The 24,929-nt window shown below is 48.3% G+C and overlaps 1 protein-coding gene and 1 long non-coding RNA gene across 3 annotated transcripts in view, besides 3 other annotated features; one reads left to right on the top strand and one right to left on the bottom strand.

Moving 5' to 3' along the window:
- Positions 1-24,929, top strand: part of LRRN2 (leucine rich repeat neuronal 2) — a 68,569-nt gene that overhangs the window by 11,848 nt on the left and 31,792 nt on the right. The gene's annotated exons all lie outside the window — the stretch shown is intronic.
- Positions 9,232-9,732: an enhancer, noted in NCBI's record as "H3K4me1 hESC enhancer chr1:204633287-204633787 (GRCh37/hg19 assembly coordinates)". NCBI's record gives its function as "activates a minimal SCP1, AML or CMV promoter by ChIP-STARR-seq in primed H9 embryonic stem cells {active_cell/tissue: H9 hESC(primed)}" and the evidence as "EXISTENCE:reporter gene assay evidence [ECO:0000049][PMID:30033119]".
- Positions 9,733-10,233: an enhancer, noted in NCBI's record as "H3K4me1 hESC enhancer chr1:204632786-204633286 (GRCh37/hg19 assembly coordinates)". NCBI's record gives its function as "activates a minimal SCP1, AML or CMV promoter by ChIP-STARR-seq in naive and primed H9 embryonic stem cells {active_cell/tissue: H9 hESC(naive and primed)}" and the evidence as "EXISTENCE:reporter gene assay evidence [ECO:0000049][PMID:30033119]".
- On the bottom strand, positions 11,377-14,581 carry LOC124904490 (uncharacterized). Its single transcript, XR_007066822.1, has 3 exons — positions 14,427-14,581; positions 11,734-11,791; positions 11,377-11,465 (listed from the first exon to the last, which is right to left on the bottom strand). It is a non-coding gene; the product is annotated as an uncharacterized LOC124904490 (long non-coding RNA).
- Positions 12,067-12,568: an enhancer, noted in NCBI's record as "H3K4me1 hESC enhancer chr1:204630451-204630952 (GRCh37/hg19 assembly coordinates)". NCBI's record gives its function as "activates a minimal SCP1, AML or CMV promoter by ChIP-STARR-seq in naive and primed H9 embryonic stem cells {active_cell/tissue: H9 hESC(naive and primed)}" and the evidence as "EXISTENCE:reporter gene assay evidence [ECO:0000049][PMID:30033119]".

The raw sequence follows: 24,929 nt of genomic DNA, 5'->3' as shown, positions 1-24,929 counted from the left end.
TCCTTGCTGCTTCTAGGCCTCTCACACACTCAAAGAACCAAGCAGGGCAGCCCTAAATGAAATGCCAGATCACTTGGGTAGTGGGGAAAAGCAGGGAGGGGGAGAACCAGCCTAGCAATCACAGGGGCTGAGAGGAGCAGGGGCCAGACCCCTCTCCACTTTTCTTCGGCAAAGCTTAGCCAACCTCAGAACGATTTCCCCAGGGCAAGGCAGTGGGAAGCCTCAGGTTTACTGTGTGGCTGCAGTCTTCCTGCATACAACTTTGCTGCCTCTGTCTCTTTCGGTCACTCTTGATGCTGCAATCTGTTGTGCGTTTGTGGGAAGCAGCCTGATGTGCTGAAGAGAGCACCTTCTTGAAAGTTGGATCCATCTGGGTTAGAATCCTGTGGCTTCTGCTTCCCAGCTCTATGACCCTGGACGTGTCTCAGTCTCTCATTGAGCCTCATTTCACTTATCTATAAAATGGGTTTAACACACCCAGTTCACAGGGTTGTGAAAATGAAACCAGCTCATGCTTGTAAAATGCTTGGCACACAGTAGGTACCAATAAATATTAAAGAACTTAAAAAGTCATCTTTTAATTATCTACCCAAATAAACAGGAATAATGTGATGGATAATTTAAAGAATTCTGATAGACTTGGTAGGGTATTGTTTTTTAAATATTTGAGAATAGTCTTCATTTAGTTCAGTAAATGTTTATTGAACATCTACTGTGCACAAAGTACAGGGCCAAGTGGGTCTTTCCTGGTGTTTTATGATTAGGGTGAATTTAAGTTGCTGGTGCATTCTCTAAGCATATATCATCTGACAGAGGGAGAGGGAGGGCCCTTCGGAAGGCTAGTAGCAGAGAGGGGGTGGCCCTCGGTCAACCATGTATGTGGATCTTACGTGGATCTCTGAGAAGTGGCTGGCCCTAAGAGAAAGATCTGCATTGTGAAGGCTCTGTCTGGATGGTGTGCAGTGAGATATGCTGCCCAGCTTCTGAGAAATGGTGAGTCTGTTTTTAGAGCTGGATGAAGCGGATGATTGATGGAACTAGTGGGTGGTCGCTCCTTCACTTTCACAAGCTGCTACTGAGGCTTGAGGGGGCCGGTGACCACCCAACTATCAGCTGGAAGAGGAGCAAGGTGCACCTGCTCTCACCTGGGCATCTGAGCAGATCACAGCTCCCTCAACTAGTGCTGGGAGGGAGGGAAGGAGAGCAAGAGGGAGCTAGGAAACTTGGCTTCTATCTCTGCCAGCAGATGGACTTCTGCCTGCAGCAGGAGTCTGTCTGTTCTTCTATCAGCCTCCATGCAGCCTCCTCCAAGACGGCGCGACAGAGATGTGCAAACAGAACGTCAGAGATAGCTGGGGCCCTGGAGAGCATCTGTCCCACTGCTTTCTCACTGTCCTCATTCACATTATAGCACAGAAACACAGTGATAATGGCTCAGGGACCCCAATTGACCCAAGGGCTAAAGGGTCATGATCTCAGCACACCTGTACCCATTTGTTGCTCCCTAGCCCCACTTGGGGAGCCCTATCTTAGCCGGTCCTCCCGATCTATTTTTAATCTATGAGAAACTTAAGCAATGGGGAGGGGGAAGGACTTGAGATCACATAGCGTATTAGTGCCCTTGGGACTAGACAGAAAGCTCCTAACTTCTGGCTTTGTGCTATACCTACTACCTCTTCTCAAGACTCCTTCTTCCACTGATTTTCCTGATCTTTCACCCTGGAGGGGCTACTTCATGTGCAAGAGAATGTAATGTCTCTAAGACACGATTATTCCCCAAATCTCGCAAAATAAGGCGACATCCTCCCCACTCACCTTTATTCTCACTAGCCACCCTCTTCATTCAGGGAAGCCTTTGGCGTGTGCCCATAGACCTTCTCCCTTTCCAACTGTATGTCTGTCCATCATCCTGGGTGAGATTAGTGACGATGTGGACAGCTTCTTCTACCCCAGACCCAACAGTCCCTTCACGGGCTCACCTATCTCAGCCACTCACTTGCAAGTTCACACTCTGTATCTTGCCATCCCCTGAAAATTACCTAGCAGAGTACCCAACTTTCTGGTCATCACCTTCTACACCTTTTAGTTTCCCAGCTTGCTTGTCCAAGGACTCCCACACCACCACTTATTTTTTAGCCAGTCAAATTTAGCAGTGGGAGGGTTCTATGACACCCCCACTCTTTAATCTCTTTGGGAACTTTGCTCCATTGGCACCTTTGCTTTTTTTTTTTTTTTTTTTTTTTTTTTTACCATCAATTACCTTCCTCTGCCTTCCCTTCTCTGAGTCCAGATAGAGGCCATGGTCCATCATTTTTAAGAATCCTCCTGCCAATATCCTAAACTCTCTTGAGCCTCTGTCTTTTTATTGTCCTAGTTTGACCAAGTCCCTGTTCTGGATTAATTGCTTTATCTGCTTCTTTCTACCTGCATTCAGGAATCTGGACCCGCTGGGACACACACACACACACACACACACACACACACACAAACACACAAACAGATTGCTACTTCTACAAACTCACCATCACCAACCCAGCTTGCTCTTCAAAAGTGCCTGGTGTTCCTACCACGTTCCTCTGGTTCTGTCTCCCCTCAGTCTCCACAATGACTATTTCACACCTTCCTCCCCAAACCTCTGCCTCCACCCTCATGCTCAGCTGAGGACCTCACCTCCCACTTCACAGAGAAAGAGAAGTCACCAGGCAGAACTCCCCAACTTATCCCCACCAAACCCCCAAACTACCTGCCTCTGGGCCAGTCCTCTCCTCCTTCCCTCCTGTGTCTGCAGAGGCCACAGCATGGCCATCACAGGCCAGTTCTTCCACCACCCATGTTCTAGGTCCTCTCCTCTGCCTTCTCAGAAACAGCCTTCTCACCATGCTCAAGTTTCTCATGTCTTCAACAAGCAAAACAACAACAAAAACCTTCCTGAAGCCCGACTCCACTTGCTGCCACCACACTGTCTCTCTTCTCCGTACAAGCCAAATGTCTGAAAGGGTTGGCTGCAACAGCATTCTCCATCTCTGTGCTACCCACTCCTTCCCCAGCCCTGCTTCAGTCTGGCTTCCTCCCCCATCACTCTGCTGAAGCAGCTCTCCAGATTGCTAAAGCCAGGGAACATTTTTTAGTTCTCAGAAGCATTTTCCACTCATTTTTTTTTTTGACACTTTCTTTTCCCTTGGCTTCTCTGACCCCACATTCTTGGCTTCTCTGGTACTCCTGAGTCGTCTTTGCTGACTCATCCTTCCCGTCTTGATCTTTAAATGTTGGTGTTCCTTATGGTCTGGCTCAAGGTATTCTCTTCTGATTGGATACTCTGTCCCTGGGCCATCTCAGCCACACGAACGGCTTCCGTTGTCATCCACATGCAGATGACACCCAGCTTCCTAGTTGGTGTCTTTTCTTCTGAGCCCCATATCCTTATATTCACCTGCCTAGCTGACTAAGCTGGATGTCTCAAGAAACCTCAGACTTGACATACTGAAAGCCAGAGTCGTGATTCTCCTGCTACATCTCCCACTGCCTTCTCACCCGCTGCCTGATCCTCCTCCAGTGCTGCCTGTTTTGTGAATGGCATAACCTCAAACCTCAGTTCTGCACGCCATCAACTGGGAGTCACTGTCAGCTCTTCCCTTTTCTCTACCGCCTTACATCCAGCCCATCACCAGGCCCTGTCTACCTCCTAAACAGCACCTGGGTCCATCCACTCCACTCCTCCCCATCTCCACAGCCTCCACACTAGTTCAGGCTGACTTTGCCTTTTCCTCAGGCTGCTGGAATCACCTTCTCATTGGTATGGCTGTATCCACTCTTGCATCTCCAATTGTCAGAGAAGCCAAGGGAAAAGAAAGTGTCAGAAAAAAACAAACAAACAAAAAAAAAAACGAGTGGAAATGCTTCTGAGAACTAAAAAATGTTCCCTGGCTTTGGTAACTGGGTCTCTGAATTGCTGCTGGACTGACCTTTTAAGGACACAAATCTGACCTAGTCACATTATGTTGTACTCTCAACACTCTTAAGTGATTCCCATGCTCTTTAGGATGGCCAGTGGGATGGTCCCTTGTGGTATCTGACCTGTGCCTGCACTGAGGCATCCCCACTCCCCTCCCTCATGCTCTGCACTCTGCACCCTGGCCTTTTTCAGCTCTGACTGCTGAGCTCCTTTTGGCCTCATGGCCTTCACACGTGCTGTTTCCTGGCCCTTAATCACTCTTCCCATCCCTTCCTTCTCCTCCCTAAATACTAGCTATCCTGCAGATCTCAGCTCAAGTAGCCCTTCCTTAGAAAAGCATCCCTGTACCTTCAGAATTTTACCAGGCCCCAGTTAAACACTCTCACAATGTCCTGTATGCTTTCTTCATAACACACATGATGATATCTAATTATACAGTTAGGGCTTATTAGAGAAATGTCCATCTATGCCACTAGGCTGTGACTCTATGAGGGTAGAGACCCTATCTGTTGTATTATTGTATCATTGGTGTCTGGCACAGATTTGGCTTCAGAAAATCTTGGGATAGTGAATTCATCCATGAGAGGTCTTTAAATACAAAAAGGATCCATGAAAAAGTCCGAAAGGAAAGCTATTCCTTGTGTGTGGCATTGGTAGACCAGAAGACCATACTCCTGCTCCCTTCCCTTCCCTGTCTTTCCCCAACCAAAGATTCAAAAGTCATTCACTTTGAGTTTCCAGTGTAGGCTCCTCCTCACCAATAGATTTTTCAGGAACAATAGCATTAATCTTTCACGTGTGAAAAGCTATTTACAGTCAGGCGCAGTGGCTCATGCCTATAATCCCAGAACTCTGGAGAGGCTGAGGTGGGAGGATCACTTGAGGCCAGGAGTTCAAGACCAGTCTGGGCAACATAGTGAGACCCCATCTCTACAAAAGATTTAAAAATTAGCCAGGTGTAGTGGCCAGAGCCTGTAGTTCCAGCTACTTGGGAGACTGAGGCAGGAGGTTCGCTTGAGCCCTGGAAGTCAAGGCTACAGTGAGCTAGGGTAGCACCACTGCACTCTAGCCTGTGCAACAGAGTGAGACCCTGTCTCAAAAACAAGAAGAAAAACTATTTACAACCTACAAAACTCTTTCACATATATTATCGTGTTCGATTTTTTTCTCTGTCCTTAGAGCCACACCCATGAGGAAGCTGGGGTGTGTATTATGATCGCCTGTTTCACAGTGAAGCAAACTGCAGCCCAGAGAGGAGTGGTGGCTTGCCCACAGTCACATGGCTGATCAGTGAAGAGCTAGACTTGAGCCTGGTACTCAGGCCCCACTTCCATGCTCTTTTTTGAGACAGAGTCTCGCTCTGTCACCCAGGCTGCAGTGCAATGGCGTGATCTTGGCTCACTGCAACCTCTGCCTCCCGGGTTCAAGTGATTCTCCTAGCTCAGCCTCCCAAGTAGCTGGGTCCACAGGCACGCACCACCACACCCGGCTAATCTTTGTATTTTTAGTAGAGATGGGGTTTCACCATGTTGGCCAGGCTGGTCTCGAACTCCTGTTCTCAAATGATCTGCCCGCCTCGGCCTCCCAAAGTACTGGGATTACAGGTGTGAGTCACCACACCTGGCCTTTCCGTGCTATCTCTACTGCTGCATATCCACGCTTTATAGAAAAGAGACTGCTGCAAGTTCAAATTATCCACAGTAGTGGAAGGGGGAGTGGCACCACAAACAAACACCACCACCCACAGGGGCTGGGAAGAAGGTGGGTCTGGAATGTCATGTGCAGTTTGGTTTGGAGCAGACCAAGTTAGCTTGGTGGGGCCAGCACTGGCCTCTTGCTTTTCTCAGATCTTCATAGGTCTATGAGGATTCATTCCACGCCAGGAATGGAGTACTCTGGAACAGGAGTGCCCAGAGAGTCCACAGAGTGAGGAACGAGGATGGTCAAAGCTGAGGGAAGACAGTGGCTTCTCACCGCAGACTCCAGGAGGATAACGTGCGAGCTCTTGAGACATGCACACCCTCCCTGGCGTGGCTTCTGCCTACTTTGCCAGCCTCTTCCTCCAGCCCTCACTGCCTCCCAGATGCCCAAGTTAAAGCAGTTGTCCCCAGTTGCTCAGCCATCTCACGTGGCTTCACACCTCTGAGCTTTTCTCAGACCGTTCCTTCTGCCTGGGTGCCCTTCATAGTCTCCTCTCCTGGCTGACTCTTACCAGACTTCAATACTCAGCTCTAGTGGCATCTTTTCCAGGAAACCCTCCCTAAAGCCCTGAGAACTCCTCCCATGAACTGAGCACAGTCAGCACATTCTATTAAAAGTCTCTCTTTGCTGGGTCTTTCTCTTCTGCTGGATTAGCAACTCCTCAAAAACAGAGACTGTGAGCTATTTATATGGGCACTCCCAGTGTCCCGCATGTAGTAGTAATAAAATCACAACATATATTGAAGGTTTACTATGTACTAGATGCTATTTAAGTGCTTTATATTAACTCGTTGAATCCTCAGAATAACCATATGATGTATGTTTTGCACCCTATTTTTTAAATTGTTGTTTTTTAACCTTTTAAAAAAAGTATGGATTAACTGGACAAGCAAAGAAATTTACAGGGAAGTCCACAGTACCCTTCATCCAGCATCCCCCAGTGCCAACATCTTGCCTAATTATACTGTAATGTCAAAACAAGGAAACTGACATTGGTATAACCCTAGAGTTTATCGGAATTTCACCAGTTATACATGCACTCCTTTGTGTGTGCCTGGTTTTGTGTAAATCCACCACAATCAAGCTAGTTAACCACACCATCACAGGACTCCCTTGTGCTGCTCCTGTATAGCCACGCTACCCCATCTCGCACTCTGTCAGCCACTCAGCTATTCTTCATCTCTATAATTATGTTGTTTCACAGTTGTTATATAAATGGGAACATTGAGTCTGTAATTTTTTGCTGTTGGCTTTTTTTTTTTTTTTTTTTTTTTTGGAGACAGAGTTTCACTCTGGCATCCAGGCTGGAGTGCAGTGGCATGATCTTGGCTCACTGCAACCTCTGCCTCCCAGGTTCAAGCAATTCTCCGGCCTCAGCCTCCCGAGTAGCTGGGATTACAGGTGTGGGCCACCACGCCTGGCTAATTTTTTGTATTTTTAGTAGAGACTGGGTTTCACCATGATGGCCAGGCTGGTCTCAAATTCCTGACCTAAAGTGATCCATCTGCCTTGGCATCCCAAAGAGCTGGGATTACAGGCATGAGCCACCGCGCCCAGTGGCTTTTTTTGTATTCAGCATAATTTCCTTGAGGTTCATCCAAGTAGTTGCCTATATCAGTAGTTAGTTTGTTCTTTTTTGTCACCATGTAGTATAACATGATAGGGATGTGCCACAATTATTTAACCATCCACCCACTGAAGGGCATTGGCATTACCTCGTTTTGCAAGTGAGAAAGCTAACTGGCCCAGGATCACATGACTAGCAAGTGGCACTTAATAAATGTTTAGCAATAAGCACCTAACAAACGTTTATTGTACAAGCTCAACTGAATGAGGGTACTTTATGCTCTTCACTTAGCACCTAGCATGGTGTTTTACACATAGTAGGTGCTCAATAAATGTTTGCCAGTGAGGATATGGATGAGATGGCATTTATATTTACATAACTTGTATCATGACCAACTTATTCCTATGCCTAGACATTCACAGGAGAGGAATATGTCCCTCTCAATATCTTACACTTTCCGTTTTACTTAGAATATCAGGAAAGGAAAATTGGGGCAGTAAATATGACCACATACAGGGCTGGCATTTTATTGCCTAAAATGCCCAGAGCTTTTGGTTCCAAATTAATATATGCCATCTTTTCATAGTATTTTGCATCGAATTTGCAGGTTGCTCATTTTATCAAAATGCAAAGCAACCCTTCCAACTCCTGCTTCTTCCTGTACCACCACCCTCCCAGCAGGTGCTGGGTCAGGCTGTGCCAACGCAGTCTGCAGAAACAATTGGTTGGGTTCCGAAAGTGTCCATGCTAAGCTGAAAAGTCTACTGGGGTGTTTTTGCTTGTGGAAGCAGTGAGTTATTTTCACTCAGTGGGGGCCTCAGGAGGTTTAATTGCAGAGGATTTGTGGAGCTGTTGGAAGTCCTTAACCTCAGGTGTGAAGAGCCAAATGTGATTAAGTGATTGGAAAGGAACCACAAGTTGGACTAGTCTCTGTCCTGGGCACAGCGCCCAGGAGATGGGCTTGCTTGAGCAGCTCCCACTGTCCCTTTGAAAAGTGAGGTGACAAGAGAGCCAACCCCAGCCTCCAGGGACACATTGGAGATAAGTGGGGTCTCCAGGGTGGGCCTTTCACAGAGAGTGCCCTGTGGCGTCAAGGGGAACCCATGGTTTTGGCCAATCAAGGCCTTACCATGGGCCACAAGTAGGAGGGACAGATAAAAAGGGTAAAACTGTGGGTCTTGACCTCAAGCAACTACTAATGATGTCGACTCACCCCTAAAGCAATTAAGGGCTGGCTGTGGGGGTGCTCATACCTGTAACCCCAGTACTTTGGAAGGCGGAGGTGGGAGGATCACTTAGAGCCCAGGAGTTCAAGACCAGCCTGGGTGACAGGAGGAGAACCTGTCTCCAAAAAAATAAAAAGGAAAAATGAGACTTTAAAGAAGTTTTGGCCTTTTGGCGAGCCATGTGGGATTGCGCCCTGAGACCCCCGGGAATGCATGATCACTCTGTTGTTAGAGGCAATTCTTTTTAAATTTTTTTTCTTTTTTTTTCTTTCACGTCCATCTGTGATCCAAGTTAGGGGCAATTCAAAGGAGGAGTTGAAGCATTATCTTCCTAAAGAGAATGGAACCTCACCTGGGAAGATGAAATGGACTGCTGGGGAGGATAGACCGGTGAGGAAGTGGGGCCAGTATTGGGGTAGAGAGGGTGACGTGTCTGATTTAGGACACTGTTCTAGGGACTCATGGGGAACTTTGGTACTTTAGGGAACTGAATGGGATTTGATTAAAGAGCTGACCATCAGGCTACTGCAGAGTGTAATGAGAGACCAGATGAGGCTGTAAAGAGGGACCATAATGGGGAGTGGAGGATGGGCCTGCCGGACGGCAGAGGACTGACCCCAGAGGGAGAATGGGCACAAGGCAGACGCAGAAGACGGGGAGGGACTTCCAAGAAGGAAGTTGGTAGCGTGGCAGACGAGCCCATCAAGAGCTTCCCGAGGCTGAAAGCTGCAAAAATACTGTTGGATTGAGAAGAGCTGTGAGACTGAAAATTAACTCACAGGGGCTTAAGCAAGAAGGGTCTGTGCTCAGAAGGAATCACAGGCGAAAGGGGCATTTATATCGTTATTTTTAAAAGTGGAGAGAGGGTAAGCAAAGGAGTGAGTTTCCTGAGGAGGTGGGAAGGGATGAGGTTGGTTTTAAAATTCCTCTTCCCTTAAGTCAGAGTGGAGGGAGAGAGAATGAACGAGCTGCGCAGAGGTGTGGGAGGCACAGTGATGGAGGGCAAAGGAGGTCACATCACCATCTCCGTCGGCCTCAGGAGGTCAGGCAAGGCAATCTGTTCTGAGGACGGCGTGCAGGTGGGGAGCACGGTGAGGGGCAGATTCAGAAAAGGACTGTGCAGAGGTGCCGGGGCAGCTGCAGAGGAGGAATAAAGGGATTGCAGCAGAGAGGACTGGTTGAAGCTGGAATCATGAATGCATAATAGTGCTGGCGGCTTCCGTGTTTTCTTCTGCAATGCTTTGTGGGGAGACAAACAGAGCTGGGTGGGGAGGATTTCTAATTTTTTAACTGAGGCAGGGGCAGCAATGACCTCAGTAACCTTCCTCTCATTTTGTGGGGCCTAGGCTGCCCAGCCTTCTGCAGACAGACACCCTTCTATCCCCACCAGCCTGGCCTCTTACTGTGGGCAGCCCAGTGGGGAAGCCCACTCACCTGGCTTTGCCGTCTGGGGGAGCTCTCCACTTTTCAGAGCTTGTGGTCATTTCTCCTTGGCCTGACGTATCAGTGGATCCGGTTCTAAAAGAGTCCCATTTGCCCTCCATTGTTCCCTGTGCACTGTTTTCATTTTTCTCCCCTCGTCGATCTTGCGACAGCAGCGTAATAGCCTCCGAGAGGGTCAGACTGGGAAGATGAATGCTGGCCTGTGGAGGACTGCATCCTGCCTCTCCATTAGTGAGGTAATGGAAGGCAGGGAGCAGAGAATGGATAATCCAAGGAAACACAAACAGACACAACAAGCAGCGCACAGGATAACCTACACAGCATTTCCTCTTGTGCTTGGAGTGTGCTGTGATGACTTGAGTGCCACTGATTTGCTGGTCTAATTAGGTCTGACTTGGACAATGTGGGTTGCATTTCCCAGGGTAGAGAGGGCAGTGAGGAGAATCCAGGATGGGCTAAAAACGTTTGCTTGGGGAGAAGCCACCAAGTGAAGGATCCCCATGTGCATGCACAAGCAGACAGAAGAGCCTGTGATGGCTGCCACTATTTGAAGACTTGGTGCATTAAATGGGCCCAGATACCCACAGGTCACCCAAGAACACAGCTCCCTACTCAGTGTACTCCTCACATGTTGTGTGTTAACTCCTTTCCGGCCAAGTCAACCAAGCATAATGGTTGGGAAAGTTTCTCATGAGTAGTGCCAGGGTGGTGATGCGGTACAGTTTATCTCTGTTCCTTGCTGATATGCTCCAGGTCCATGAGCTGATGCCTCCAGGTACTTTCTGCCAGAGGAGCCATGAAGACTCCCAGGGGCCACTGCCCTGCCCTTCTGCCCAGTATCAGTTGATGCTTCCTTGGTGCCATTGGCATCAGTTCATGGTCCAAATGGGGGTTGGAGGGGAGAGTCCCTGAGGCAGACAGAGGGCAGATTATAGAATTAATAGCCTAAAAGCCCCCTGGAAATGAACTATTTGAGGAAACATGAGTTCTGGTCTCCATGTCCTATGTAATCTCGAGCTGCTCACCAAAGCTTTCTGGGCCTCCATTTCCCTTCTGAGGCCTTTTTTTTTCCAGCTCAGTCCCCTGAGCCATCCTGAGAACAGAAAGGAGTTTAGTTAAACAAGTTTCTAGTGATCATGAAACCAGGCTGTAAGTAGGGAGGGACATCTTCAAATTCTCCTGGGTTTATGACAGGGCTGGAGTATGTTTTCAAGTGTCCAGATAAGATATTGTGGCAAAGTTACTCATCAAATGTGTATTTAGGTCCCAGTTCCCAGATACTTATCAGCTATTTGACCTTGGACAAGTTGTTCTTTACCTGAAGACCAATTGTTCATCCATAGAACAGAACTTATACCTGCCTCACACATGTTTGTGAAAATCAAATAAGATCATTTGTGAGAAAGCATTTTGCAAGTTCATAAATGTCCCATCACTGTAGCAGGCTGAGAGGGAGAGGTAGCAGGGAACATGAAAAGATCGTGGGACTCGAGTCATATGGAGCCGAGTTCAGATTCCACTGTGAGTTGTGGCCTTGGACAAGTTGGTGAACTTCTCTTAGTCTTAGTTTCATCATCTGTAAAGTTGACATAAGTAAATTATGCCAGAGAATTACTGGAGGATTAAATGGGATGGTGTTTGTAAAGGGTCTGGCATATGGTAGATGCCCCTGCCCCTTTTCCCACTCCCTGTATGTAGCTCCCCCTCACTATATCCTAGCTCTCCCAGGCCCTCAAGTCAAGGACAGCTCAAGTCATCATTTGCCCACATTTTCAAATGCTCAGACTATCCTGGCATTTGTCTATGGAAGTGCCACGTTGTCTACACCCTCCCCAAGGTTTCACCTTTAGCTGTGGGTCTTCAGTCTTGGGTTCCTTCTTCCTGTTGGACAGAAGGTGCCTGCTGAAGATACAGATACAGAACTGATCACGTCAGTCTCCAGACCCTGCAGAGGGATCAGGCTATTCCATGAAACTCCACATCTGCTGGGGTCCAGCTTTCTGCAGTGGCTACCCTTCCTGTGCCAAAGCCACTCCATGAGGTTTGCCCAGCCATCCTGGGGCAGGGTGCCCAGGGTGCAGGGGTGCAGGGGTGCAGGGGTGCAGCAAAGCATTCTTTGCTCAGAGAGATTCTCATCCCTGAGGAGAAGATCCACTCTCTGTCCTGGTCCTTCTTAGCCCAGAGAGCAGCCCCTCGTTTCCTGCTACCGCTTTTGCTGTCCTCACCGTACTTTCTCTATGCTGCAGCATAGTCAACCTCTAACCCTCCCTGCCAAGGGCATCCGGGAGCCCTCAGCCACCCAGCTGCCCCTCATGGCTCCCAGCAGGATGGCGCTTAGGCCATCTAACTGGGCAGATGTTCAAGCCCCTGTGTGGTCTTTTCTGGTCTGTGGAACACCTGTCTCAAGATCACCCTTGGGGGTGTGGGGCACTCAGATGCAGATTCCCGACAGCACTTCAGATCAACTAGATTCCAGGCTGGCCAGAAATCTGCATTGTAGATAAGCTCCCACAGGATTCTTATGTACAGGAAAGTTCGAAAACCATTGGTGTGACTTTTCCCCCCATTTTTATTGAGGTAGAACTCATATAGTGAAGCAAACAAATCACGTGGGCAACTTGAGTTTGAATATGGGGTATACAACATCCCCATATTACCACTCCCAAATCAAGATATAAAACAACATGTAGGACATTTCTAGCCCCCTAAAAGGCTCTCTTACACTCAGCATTCTAGCAGCGTAGACCTAGTTTAGCCTGTTTTTGAATTTCATGTGAATGGAGTATTTGTATTCTTTTGCTCCACATTGTATCACTTCTGCCCACTCTTAAAAGTACAAACAACTCCTCTTCCATCCCATGTACCTTACCCTCTTCTGATAGAGAGAGAGAAAAAAATTAATCAATCAATCAATCAACCAGATTTTTCAGGACCTAGCCCTAACTCCCTCTCATTGCAGTTTCCTCCATCCTCCCCTCCTCAGGCCTTGGGGAGATCACATTCGGCCCCAATCCTCCAAGCATTAGTGCTTCCAGAGGCCCAGGAGCCGTCACCAATGCTGCTGTGGAGGACCTGGGCCCACTCCCCTGCCAGTCCCTCTGTAGACAGCTACTGGGACACTCATTTGTAGTATATGGCTTGCCAGAGAGTCCAGGCACATTCCAGATGAAATTGGCCAATTTAAGCTACAAATGAAAAGACAAATGAGATGGAAATTGCACAGAACAAGCCTGCTTCTCATCAGGAGGTATCAATCCTGACATTCTGAGTTGTGCAACTTATTTAGGCCTCTCCCTGCCACCACTGAGGTCAGAAGGGCTTTCCCAAGGATGGGAAACACCACCTCCTTCACACGCACAGCCAGGCAGAAGAGCAGCCCAAGAGGCTCTAAGACGAAGTGAGAGAGAGAGAGAGAGAGAGAGTGTGTGTGTGTGTGTGTGTGTGTGTGTCTGTGTAAGGCGGGGAGAAGGGAGAAAGTAGAGGACACAAGGCAGATACCTCAGAAGCAAGGCAATAAAGAAAGAGGATTTATCAGTCCAAAAAGGAAAAAAATATTTTGGACATCTGCTATTTACTAGGCCCCATTCTAGGTGTTCAGACTGACAAGATAAACAAGACCTGCCCTTAAGGAACTCCCAGTCCAGAGGAGGAAAAGAAAGAAAGTGAGATGATGGGGATGACAACAGAAAAGGCAAGGGGAGATGGAGACACATCTATAAACAGGAGGAAGGACAGCTGGAAGGAGAAACGAGGGTGGAGCTGGAAGGAGAAACGAGGGTGGAGCTGGAAGGAGAAACGAGGGTGGACGGGAGACCTGGAGAGGAGCAGGAGTCCTGTGAACAAGCCAAGGGTATGGAGCTTGGCCTGCTGTCACCCCCTGGACCAGGAAGAAGCAGCCTTGAGGGTCCTCTGGAAAGAGACAGCTCACAGATGCCTTTACAGGCATCAACTCATTGGTTCTTGGTAAAGTGTCAAGGAGTGGGCCTGGCAGGGAGTTCACCAATCCAGTGAATGGGGCAAACCAATAAACAAAATATCTGGATGATGGCTTATTCTCTATTATGTAAAGAGGGGTCAATGAGCCAGGAGTTCTTAGTCCCTGGGTCTCTGTCTTATCTACTATTTTTTGTTGAGTTTAGTGAGTTTCAAAGAGTCCAGGAATGCAAATTTGTTTTCATATGGATCCAAGCTAAATACAGTTTTAGTAATAATAATAGCAAACACTTATAAGGCACTTACCATGAGCCAGGCTGTTTTAAACACTTCACACATAGTAACTCATTTGCATAGTAAATACACTGGGGAAAAAAATCCTACAATGCATTTCAAAGCCAAACACAAGTGACTTTTGAACTATCCATCACACACACACACACACACACACACACACACCTGAAGGTAGATTATGAACTGTTGACCACCTTAAACCTCATTCTCTTAGGTGGCCGTAAGACAGATGTCCTGGGAGGCTGGGTTTGGAAAGCCATTCCAGGAGCACTTGAATAATTCCAGATTTCAGTGGGCCAAACAGGCTTACCCTCTCCCTCCTCCTCCTCTGAGCTGGAGCACTTCAGGCCGGGCTCCATGCAGGGTGCTCAGGCTGGATGAAGACCCCGGAGACTGTCATTAGGGTAAGTGTGGCCCTGTCTCCAGGGACTGCTCCCTGTCCATTACCAGAGCCAGAATCCATGTGCATTGCACCATTGTGGATGTTGCTAAGCCTAATTGCTACCAGGGAACTAGTTTCCATAGTGACAGAGGTACAGTAGGCCCTTGACATTCTCAAGGGATACATCATAGCCCTTCATGAATCCGTGGATTAGAGACTACCACATAATTTCCCCCATAAAATGCAGTAAAGTATGACTGAGAAATGTAATGAGGATGGCTATTGAGGGCAAAGTCACCCAACTCTCAGCTTGCCAGGAGGTTCCCCTGCTGGTCTCACAGCACTGGCAAGTCAGCATTACATACTATTTCATGTCAGACTGAGGTTGGTCATAATGGCAGAAGCCACCTTATGATAAACGGAGAATACCAGCGACTGCCACTTTTGAATGACAGTAGCAAGGAGGGACTTCTGTTTAAACATGATGGACTAACATCTCTGGTGCTTTGTGCTGCCTCCCCAAACCACACTAGAAGTAAAGGAGTAAAAAAGATGCAGGCCCACAAGGGCAGGGGAGGAGATGAAAGCGAATAAGAAATGTCAGTACAATTTTGGAACTTGAGAAGGTAACTGACTTGGCTTGATAGAGAAAGAAAAACCCAGAGGCTCCCAAAGAGGGGAGTCAATGAGAAATGGGCAGATTCCTGCTATAAAACCACAGAGAGGCTGAGAAATGGTTGGCATCTGAAGACAGGGTATGGAGTAGGGCCAGAAACAGGAGAGTGATACCTCAGATCCCTTCCTCACCCCATGTCACCCCATGTCTGTCCCTGCTTTACCCTAGAGCATCCTGAAGAAAACTTTGCTCTCCAAAGAGACTGAACCCAAAAAGTGCTGACTTGGGGATATGGGTACAAGTATGAGTAGAGATGAGGCAGTATGTTGGAAAAGTGAGCATTTGCTCAAAGTTTCCAAGCCAAATGGGGAAGCCTTTTGGTCATTTCTTCCAGCTGGGTCTAAAAATACTGGTAGTTGGACAAGTGATGATATTTGGGAGACCCCCTTCCTCTCAGTTAAGCCCTGCCCTTTCCAATCGGCTGTAAATACGAACCATTGGCTGGGCACGGTGGCTCATGCCTGTAATCCCAACACTTTGGGAGGCCAAGGTGGGCAAATCACTTGAGGTCAGGAGTTTGAGAACAGCCTGGCCAATATAGTGAAACCCCGTCTCCACTAAAAATATAAAAATTAGCCAGGCATGGTGGCACGTGCCTGTAGTCCCAGATATTCCGGAGGCTGAGGCAGGAGAATGGCTTGAAACTGGGAGGTGGAGGTTACAGTGAGCCGAGATTACGCCATTGCACTCCAGCCTGGGCGACAGAGTGAGACTCAGTCTCAAAAAAAAAAAAAAAAAAAAAAAAAGAACCATTGGCTAAGGCTTACTAGAATTTTAAGGGAGGTGTCTAATGTTAAGAAAGCATAAGCCAAAATAAACAATAAATAAAAACTTGAAGAAAGGAAATACTATGCAGGGAGCAAAAGAAAAAATAAAAACCATCATCACCACCTCAATTTATATCCTCAGAGAGTTGAGAGACGACATTATACCCACAAAAGAAGATCATGGGGCCTTTTTAAAAAATTGAGATATAATTCACATACCATAAAATTCACCATTTTAAAGTGTACAATTTGGTAGTTTTTTATATATTCACAAGGTTGTACATCCATTGCCATTATCTAATTCTAAAACATTCTCATTATCGCCCCCAAAAAACTCCATACCCATCAGCAGCCACTCCTCATTCTCCCCTTCCCCCAGATCCTGGCAACCACTAGTCTGCTTTCTGTCTCTATAGATTTGCTTATTCTGGACGTGTCATAGAAATGGAATCATACAATTCGTAGCCTTTGTGTCTGGCATCTTCCACTTAGCATGTTTTCAAAGGTTGTAGCATGTGCCATTACTTCGTTCCTTTTTGTAGTTGAATATTATTGCATTGTATGGATATACCATATATATGCGTGTGTGTGTGTGTGTGTGTGTGTGTATATATACATATATATAGACACATAGATATATATTTTGAGATGGGGTCTCACTGTGTCACCTAGGCTGGAGTGCAATGGGGTGATCTTGGCTCACTGCAACCTCCGCCTCCCGGGTTCAAGTGATTCTCCTGCCTCAGCCTCCCAAGTAGCTGGGATTACAGGTCTGCACCACCACACCCGGCTAATTTTTGTGTTTTTAGTAGAGACGGGGGTTTCGCCGTGTTGGCCAGGCTGGTCTCAAACTCCTGACCTCAGATGGTCCACCCGCCTCGGTTCTCAAAGTGCTGGGATTACAGACGTGAGCCACCACGCCTGTCAGATATACCATATTTTTTTATCCATCTATCAGTTGGTAGACATTTGGGTGATTTTTATTTTTTAAGGAAGATGCAGAGAACAAGTTCTTGGAGACTTAAAATATGTTGTTTCCTTCAATGAAGATGATTACTTTGCAGATGGCGAGGATCCATTAGGTGCCCAGCACAATTAATGAAGAAGAGACCCTCACAAAGACACAACATTTTGAGATTTCAGAATGTCAGGTATAAAGTGAAGATTCCACAAGCCAGGAAGAAAAAGACAGGCTTTAGGATAGAGCAGACTTCTCAACAGCAGCCCTAGACGCAAATAGGTCATGGAACTGTGTCTTCCAACATGTGAGGGAATGTTATTTACAGTCTGAAATTATATTTCCAGTCAAACTGTCAGATATGGAGGCTCAATAAAGACATGCAAACATTTGCAAAAATGTTCGTGCCAAAATTTTCAAACACTCAGACTTTCAAGAAACTTAGCTCTTTTTCAAAAGCAACTCAAAAAAGATGTACTCTACCAAAACAAGGTGGAAAACAAGAAAGATGACATGAACCTCAGGGAGAGACAAATTGTTAAGAATATTTACTATCATAAGAAAAAGCCTGAAAAGATATGCATCAAAATGTTAACAGTGGTTATGGCACCAGGAGGTAGAAAAGGGGATTGTTTAAATTTTCTCCATGTTTTTCTATACCTTCTAATTTTTCGATAAGAATGTCATACTGTACCTACCAGTTACTATATCTTTGACACACGTGGATGCAGACAGCCAAGGGCAGGCCAGAGATAGAGAAGAGACAAAGAAAGAATAGAGGGGGGCCAGGCGTGGTGGCTCACACCTGTAATCCCAGCACTTTGGGAGGCTGAGGCGGGCAGATCATGAGGTCAGGAGATCGAGACCATCCTGGCTAACAGGGTGAAACCCCGTCTCTACTAAAAATACGAAAAATTAGCCGGGCGTGGTGGCGGGCGCCTGTAGTCCCAGCTACTGGGGAGGCTGAGGCAGGAGAATGGCGTGAACCTGGGAGGTGGAGCTTGCAGTGAGCCGAGATCGCGCCACTGCACTCCAGCCTGGGCGACAGAGCGAGACTCCGTCTCAAAAAAGAAAAGAAAAAAGAAGAGAAGGAAAGGGAGGGAAGGAAAGATATGGAGCGTGGAGCTCTGGGGGCCACTGTGCTGCTCTGAACACAATTATCCTGCGTTTCGGTGCCCTTGTCCTGTCGGCAGCCCCCAGGGCCACAGTCATATTTGTGAGTCTGTCAGTCTGCCCTGCTAGGTACAGATCTCCCTCAGGACAGAGGCTGGATCTTGTTCATCTTGTATCTATTCCCAGTGCCTGGCAGAGAAAATACATGGAATTGGTGCTTGAATGAATGTAGAGAGGAAGAGAAAGGAAGGAGGAGAAAAAAAAAAACAAAAAAACCTCACCTGGCTGGGCATGGTGGCTCATGCCTGTAATCCCAGCACTTTGGGAGGCCTAGGATGGCAGATCACTTGAGCCCAGGAGTTCAAGATCAGCCTGGGAAATAAGTAAGACCCCTTCTCTAAGAAACAAAAACATTTTTAAAAAATTAGCTGGGCATGGTGGCACATGCCAGTAGTCCCAGCTACTTGGGAGGCTGAGGTGGGAGGATCACTTGAGCCTGGGAGACAGGGGCTGCAGTGACCCCAGATCGCGCCACTGCACTCCAGCCTGGGTGACAGAGCAAGACCCTGTCTCAAGAAAACAAAAACAAAACCCACCAAATGTAGAGCATAAATTTGGTGAGACCTGAAGTAGGGATGCCATCAAGGTTTTAGCACCACTTGCTGGGGTGGTCAGTTCCGCTGTCGGAGAACTTACCTCATTTCCACTCTTGGAGGACTTACCTCAGCTGGGTCCAGCCACCTGTGTCCCACTGCCACTCAGCTGTTTCTTCAGGCAAGGCCTGGGGGAGCTTGGAATGTCCACAGGGGCTAGAGAATGGAGAATGTCTTTTGCACCCATTAAAGTTTCAGAACAGCTACACTCAGACCACAGCTCCCCAGCTACTGGTAGTCCCAGAGCTCTTATAAACCTCCTGGGGCCTACTTGAGAGGAACATTTTGGGTTCATGGCAGGGGTGTTGTGCTGGGGGGGTGGCAAGAAGGGAAGTCCTGATTTGTAGTGTTTGCCAATTTTCATAGTTTTCAGTATTTCCATCACAGCCAATTTCAACCTACTATGTAATGTTATTGAGGGTGGAGTTGGGAAGAGGTGAGCTCCATCAGCTCTCATGGACTGGGGCAAGCTGGTTCCAGCACGCACTGGTTAATGCCAATGATGGATGTAACTACCAAGTGCCACTTCTGCATGAGCACAAAGTTGGATGACTTGGATGTTTGGATGGAATCAAAGAGCTTCTGGTCCAGGGAAGGATGGAAGTAGCCACATATGCTATGAGTACCGCCAGGGAGAGTTTGGTGGAGAGTTTTTGATCAGGGGATGCAAAAAGGATCAAGACAGCTGGATGGGACCTGCTATACAAAGAAAGAACTTTGTACAACTTCCTTATCAACTAAGAAAGCAGGCTTTCATTCTAATTGTTCTGATTTGCAGATGAAAAAACTAAGGCCTAACAAGCTAATAGTCACACAGCTAATAAATAGGCCACCGTTGGGACAAACCCAAGCCTTCTGATTTTCATTAAGATTAAACTTGTCTACAGTATTCAAACCCATAAATCTTCAGTGAACAGCTTTGAACATTTCAGTACCCAGAAGGCTCCTCGTACCCCTTCTCGGGTAATTGGGTCTTCTAATTCTTAATCCAGTCCGCTTTACACCAGTCCTTACTGACTTTGGGTTGGCAGTATATCATGTACTTACAAGTATGGCTTCAAGGACAATCTTCCTCAGTGGTTAAGCACACAGACTTTGGGGCCAGACTGCCGAGATTCAAATCCCAGCTTCAGCTGTTTGACCCCAGGCAGGTTACTTAATCTCTAGATCCTTTTTTTTTTTTTTTTTTTTTGTCAGGGTCTCACACTGTCACCAAAGAGGGAGTGCACTGGCACAATTATGGCTCACTGCAGCCTCGAACTCCTAGACTGAAGTGATCCTTCCACATCAGCCTCCTGAGTAGCTGAGACTACAGGTGCATGCTACCATGCCCAGCTAAATAGTTTTTCTTTTTTTTTTTTTTTGAGATGGGGTCTCACTCTGTTGCCCAGGCTGGAGTGCAGTGGTACTACCCTAACTCACTGTAGCCTTGACCTACAGGGCTCAAGTGATCCTCCTGCCTCAGCCTCCCAAGTAGCTGGGACTAAGGTTGCACACCACCACACCTGGCTAATTTTTTAAATATTTTGTGGAGACAGAGTCTCACTATGTTGCCCAGGCTGGTCTTGAACTCTTGGTCTCAAGTGATCCTCCTGCCTCTGCCTCCCAGAGCACTAGGATTACAGGCATGAGCCACTGCACCCGGGCCAATCTCTGTATTTTAGATTCCCATTTATAAATGAGGATAAAGGCATCACAGGGTTGTTGTAGGCTGATATGGGTTAATACAAGTAAAGTGCTTAGAACAGTTCCTAGTTCATACCAAGTGTTCAGTAAGGGTCAGCCTATCATTATTTGGCAAGGGAGAAGCAGCCGTCCTGGCCCAGAAATCAGAGAGGTGTGAAGAAATTGATTAGAGATCAAGAAGGCAATCAGCCTCAGGCTTCCTTCACGGTTTCCCAACCTGGGGTCAGTGGAGCCAACTCCTAGAGAAACTTAGAACTTCTGAATTGAGAGGGACTAGCAATCTTGTAGCTGGGTACTTGTATCTTGCAGATGAGAATCAGAAGCCCAGAGTTCAGTGTGTGCCCTTATATTAATATTAGGCTAGTGCAAAAGTAATTGTGGTTTTTGCTGTTACTTTCAATGGCAAAAATCGCAATTACTTTTGCACCATCTAATACTAGTCACTTCCCTGCTGTGGGACTCTGCTTCTTCCATTGAAAAGGAAGCAGAATGAGGTGGATACCGAGGTCCCTTCCGCAGAAGCTCTGACCTGAGGACCAACTCACCTTGCTTAGATGTGGAGGCTGCACCCGGGACAGACCCCCACGTGAAGGTAGCAAGTTGGTGGGATAGGCAAGACCTCACCTCCCTGCCAGCACCCTCCATCTGTAGGGGAATGGCTTCTGAAATGGACCCAGTTGCAGGACTGCCCTGGGCTAGCTCTTTTCCCAGGAGGCAGACCCAGCTGCCTGCATTGGAATCACCTGCTTGGAAGCTGTTCAATCTGCAGGTGTCCGGGCTCCACCCTGAGGAGTGGGATGGGTATTTGCATGTTAACAAGCTCTCTGGGTGATTCGTGGGCACGCTCTTAGTTTGAGAAATATTGGATTGGAGGGCTGGGATCCAGGATGGGAGGTGCAAGCTCTCATATTAGAAATAGCTGCCATTTATCCAGTACCTACTCCATGTGGGGCACTTTTTGACATCTCTAATCTTTACAACCACCACCCTGCAAAGTAGGCATTATTACTCTAATTGTACAGAAGAGAAAACTGAGACCCACAGCAATTAACTTGCCAGGCATCATCCAGATAATGAGACAAGGAGCCAAAACTTTAGCTCGGTCCTTCTTTGCTCTTCTGCCTCCTTGCTGAACTCCTAAACAGCTGCCTCTTACCTGACTCGAAACAGCGCTGGGAGGTGACCAGCTGAACCGGGAGAGGGGTGGGTTAATGTCAAGGCGCCTGCAGCTGTGGTTCAGGGAGGCAAGGAGGAAGGCGGCGGGGGGGCGGGGGGGGGGCGGTGAAGAGGAGAGGGCGAAGGGGAGAGAGGAGGGGGAAGGGTCCCATGGCCCATCTCCGTTTTTCCGTCTCCCTTTCTCTCTCAGGCATTCTTCAGGCTCACAGCCGCTGTTTTGACAGGGTGTGAAGCCATCCGCAACCTTTGTCTTCTCTGCTTCCCAGCCTCCTATTGTCTCACTAATTAAAGACGGCTTCAAAAATTTCCCCTGTTGTGTGCTGCTTGGCAGAATGCCAGCATCCCACTGGGGAAAGCCACAGCAGGCACCTGGTACCCGGGCACTGGGAGACACCTGGGCCCTGGCAGGGGCCGGCTGGGGAAGGGAGTTGGGCCAGGGGAGAAAGGAAGCAGCCTCGGGGCAGGGCAGGCAGGGGCTGGTAATTCTTAGGCCCTACAGCAGGAGGATGGGGTTCTGGAAGGAGGGCTGGGAGTTCTCACCTATCCTCAGCTAGAGTTGCTCAGTCCCCATTTGAAAGAGTTTTCTGAGCGATTCCCCAGCAGCCCCCATCACCTGCTCCTGTGTCCGACAGAACTTCCCTTGGGATGCTTTTTGTGACAACTCACCTGAAAGCTCTCATTCCCCAAGCCATTGCCCAGGCCATTCCTTCTGCCATATGGTGACAAGCCATCTGGTTTGCCTGGGGCTGGGGGGTTTTGGGGGGATGCAGGACTTAAATGCTGAAACTGGGAAATGGGGACAAGTTGGTCACCCCACTCTGCTTCCTCATCATCCAGGTGTCAGTCCCTTCCTCAAAGAGGCCACCCAAGTTAACACAGCACCAAGTCACTCTCCTCTGACCCTGTTTAGTTCCTGAAATAGCTTTTTATTGCTGCCATAACAAATCACCACAAACATAGCAGCTTAAAGAAACACACATTTGCCATCTCACAGCTCTGTCGGCCAGAAGTCTGTCTGGGTTGGCTCAGCCGATTTCTCTGCTCCAGGTTTCCAAAAGGCCAAAATCAAGGTGCCAGCCAGCTGGACTCTATCTGAAGACTCTAGGAGATCCGCTCCTGAGCTCATTCAGGTGGCTGTAGGACTGAGGTCCCTGTTTCCATGCTGGCTGGCAGCTGAGGGTGGTCCTCGGCTCCTAGATGGTGCCTTCCAGTCCTTGTGCACAGCTTCCTCAGAACCAGCAACAGGATATCAGATCATCGCACGCTTGGAATCCCTCTTCTGCCTGCTGCTGGAGAAAGCTGCTTTAATGACTCATGTGACTAGATTTGTCCTACTCAGATAATCCAAGACATTCTCTAATCTTAAAGTTCATAACCGTAATTACATCTGCAGGATTCCTTCTGCCCTGGAAGGTGACAGATTCCATAGGCTCTGGGATTAGAGTGTGGGAGTCTTTGGAGCCCCATCCCTCCTGCTGTCTGTCATTCCTTCCGAGCCCCTACCACTCTCTGATGTCTACTTACACATTTATTGTCCATCTATCCCCCCAAGTAAAATCCATGAGCGGAGAGATTGTGTTTGAGTTGTTCAGTGCCGTGTCCCCAGCCCTCCTGAAGCAACACTTGGCACACAGTGGGTTGTTGATGTTTGTTGAATGAGTGAGTGAACTTTACAGGGACTTTTGGATGCAGAGTGGAAGTGGGAACTTCTGGCAGGTCCAAGGAGGCTTCCTACATACACCCCTCCGCAGAGCAGGTGGCATCAGGTAGGCAAAGCAACCCCTCCTGGATGCCAGGCCCCAGCTGCTGGCATCTCCCAGCCTACCTCTCTGCCAGTGTTCTTCCCTCTTCCCACCTGAGGGTAAGACTAGTAGGACCCCTACCCTCACCCCTGACCCTCAGTCTCTCCCTGCCTGAGAATCCCAAAGGGCAGAAGCCACTGCTGAGTGTGTCCCTGAGGGGTGGTGACGAGGTAAAGGCAGAGCCTGTCTGGCCTGCGCTGGGTTCAAAGCCAATGCACCTGGGACTTCAAACAATTAATTTCCCCAGTCTGCAAAATGATCAGCTTCTGAGGGAAAACAATTAGCCCACTGCAAATTGGAATTGTCATCTCACTCCTGATTTTAATTTGGACTAATGAGGGCTAAGTGATTCCTGCTCCCTCCCCTCCCACTGCCCCTAGGCCCTGAGCCCTCACCTGCCAGTGGGCACTTAACCCTCAGCTGCCCCCCTTGCATCAGAGGCTGAGGAAGTTTTTGGGCTGGCACAGGGCCCAGGGCCAGGCTGGGCAGGTGCTGGCAGGACAGAGGGAGGGAAGAAGAGAGCACCTCCGGCTCAGCCCACAGGGGAGCTGCCTGTTTACAAGGCTCATAGGTAATCAAAGTTTTATTGAATGGAATTGACTACTGGCTCACTCCTTGTCACAGCCAGTTACCTCTGGCTGCACAGTCTCTGGGGACCCTGCTTCCAGGAGTGTCTGTTTGCCTTCTTCACGCCAGGTTGCCTCTGCCTGGCCTTGCTCTCCCCATACCCCCTACTGCCATGGTGGGGAGAGGCCATGATTCTCTGCAGCCGGGAGAGGGCTCACGTCCATGTCTGCCAGTCATGGGGATCAGTGTGGGAAGTGAACCTTGGACCATTTAGTCTAACTCCAGTTCCTCTAAACAAATTAAGGCCTGGAGAGGAGAAGGATCTGGTCAAGGTCACACAGGGGTCAAGGCCCAGGAGGAACTCACGGCCCTTCATGTTTCTTCTTATTGCTTGCTTAATTGTCTGTCTTCTTTCCTGGATACTGCTTTCCTCTCTTGCCTGCACAATGCCTGGCATGTTCAGGGATGCAGGAAAGAAGAAAATAAAGCATCCCGGGCAACCCTGTCCATGTTCTTCTACCACCTCCCACCCCCACTTAGCCTCGTTTCCAGTTGGGTTGGTTTGATTCATTCATGTGCACATCCATTCGTTCACACACTGCATCTGTGTGCTGAGAACCAGGCCGTGAGCTGCGGATACAGAGATAAATAAGACCTATCCCTGCCCTCTAGGACCTCACAGTCTAGTGGTTTCTGAATGTGGGGCTGTTCAGCCCAGAGCGCCTGACCCTCAGCAGGTTGCTCTTAGGCGAGAACCAACCCTGCATCCTGAGCAGCAGCAGGTAAGGGAGTCAGCTGCAGCTCCTGGCTGCAGACTGGCCCTGTGCTCATTCACCTCTTTGAGTCGCCGCCACTGGTTGAAGAGTTTAGTTAGGAATCAGAAACCCTGAGTTCTTGTCCTGGCTTTGATGCTGATTTGCTCTGTGGCCTTCCACAAATCCCTTCACCTGGTGTACTTTCTGAAGCCAGGGTCTGGGCTTTGGTGCATCCACCTGACTTCTGATGACTCTGGCCTGACCTCATCCCAGCGCCA

The sequence above is a fragment of the Homo sapiens genome, chromosome 1, assembly GCF_000001405.40.
Source record: "Homo sapiens chromosome 1, GRCh38.p14 Primary Assembly".
NCBI lineage: Eukaryota > Metazoa > Chordata > Mammalia > Primates > Hominidae > Homo > Homo sapiens.
This window is presented reverse-complemented; position numbering and strand designations above follow the sequence as displayed.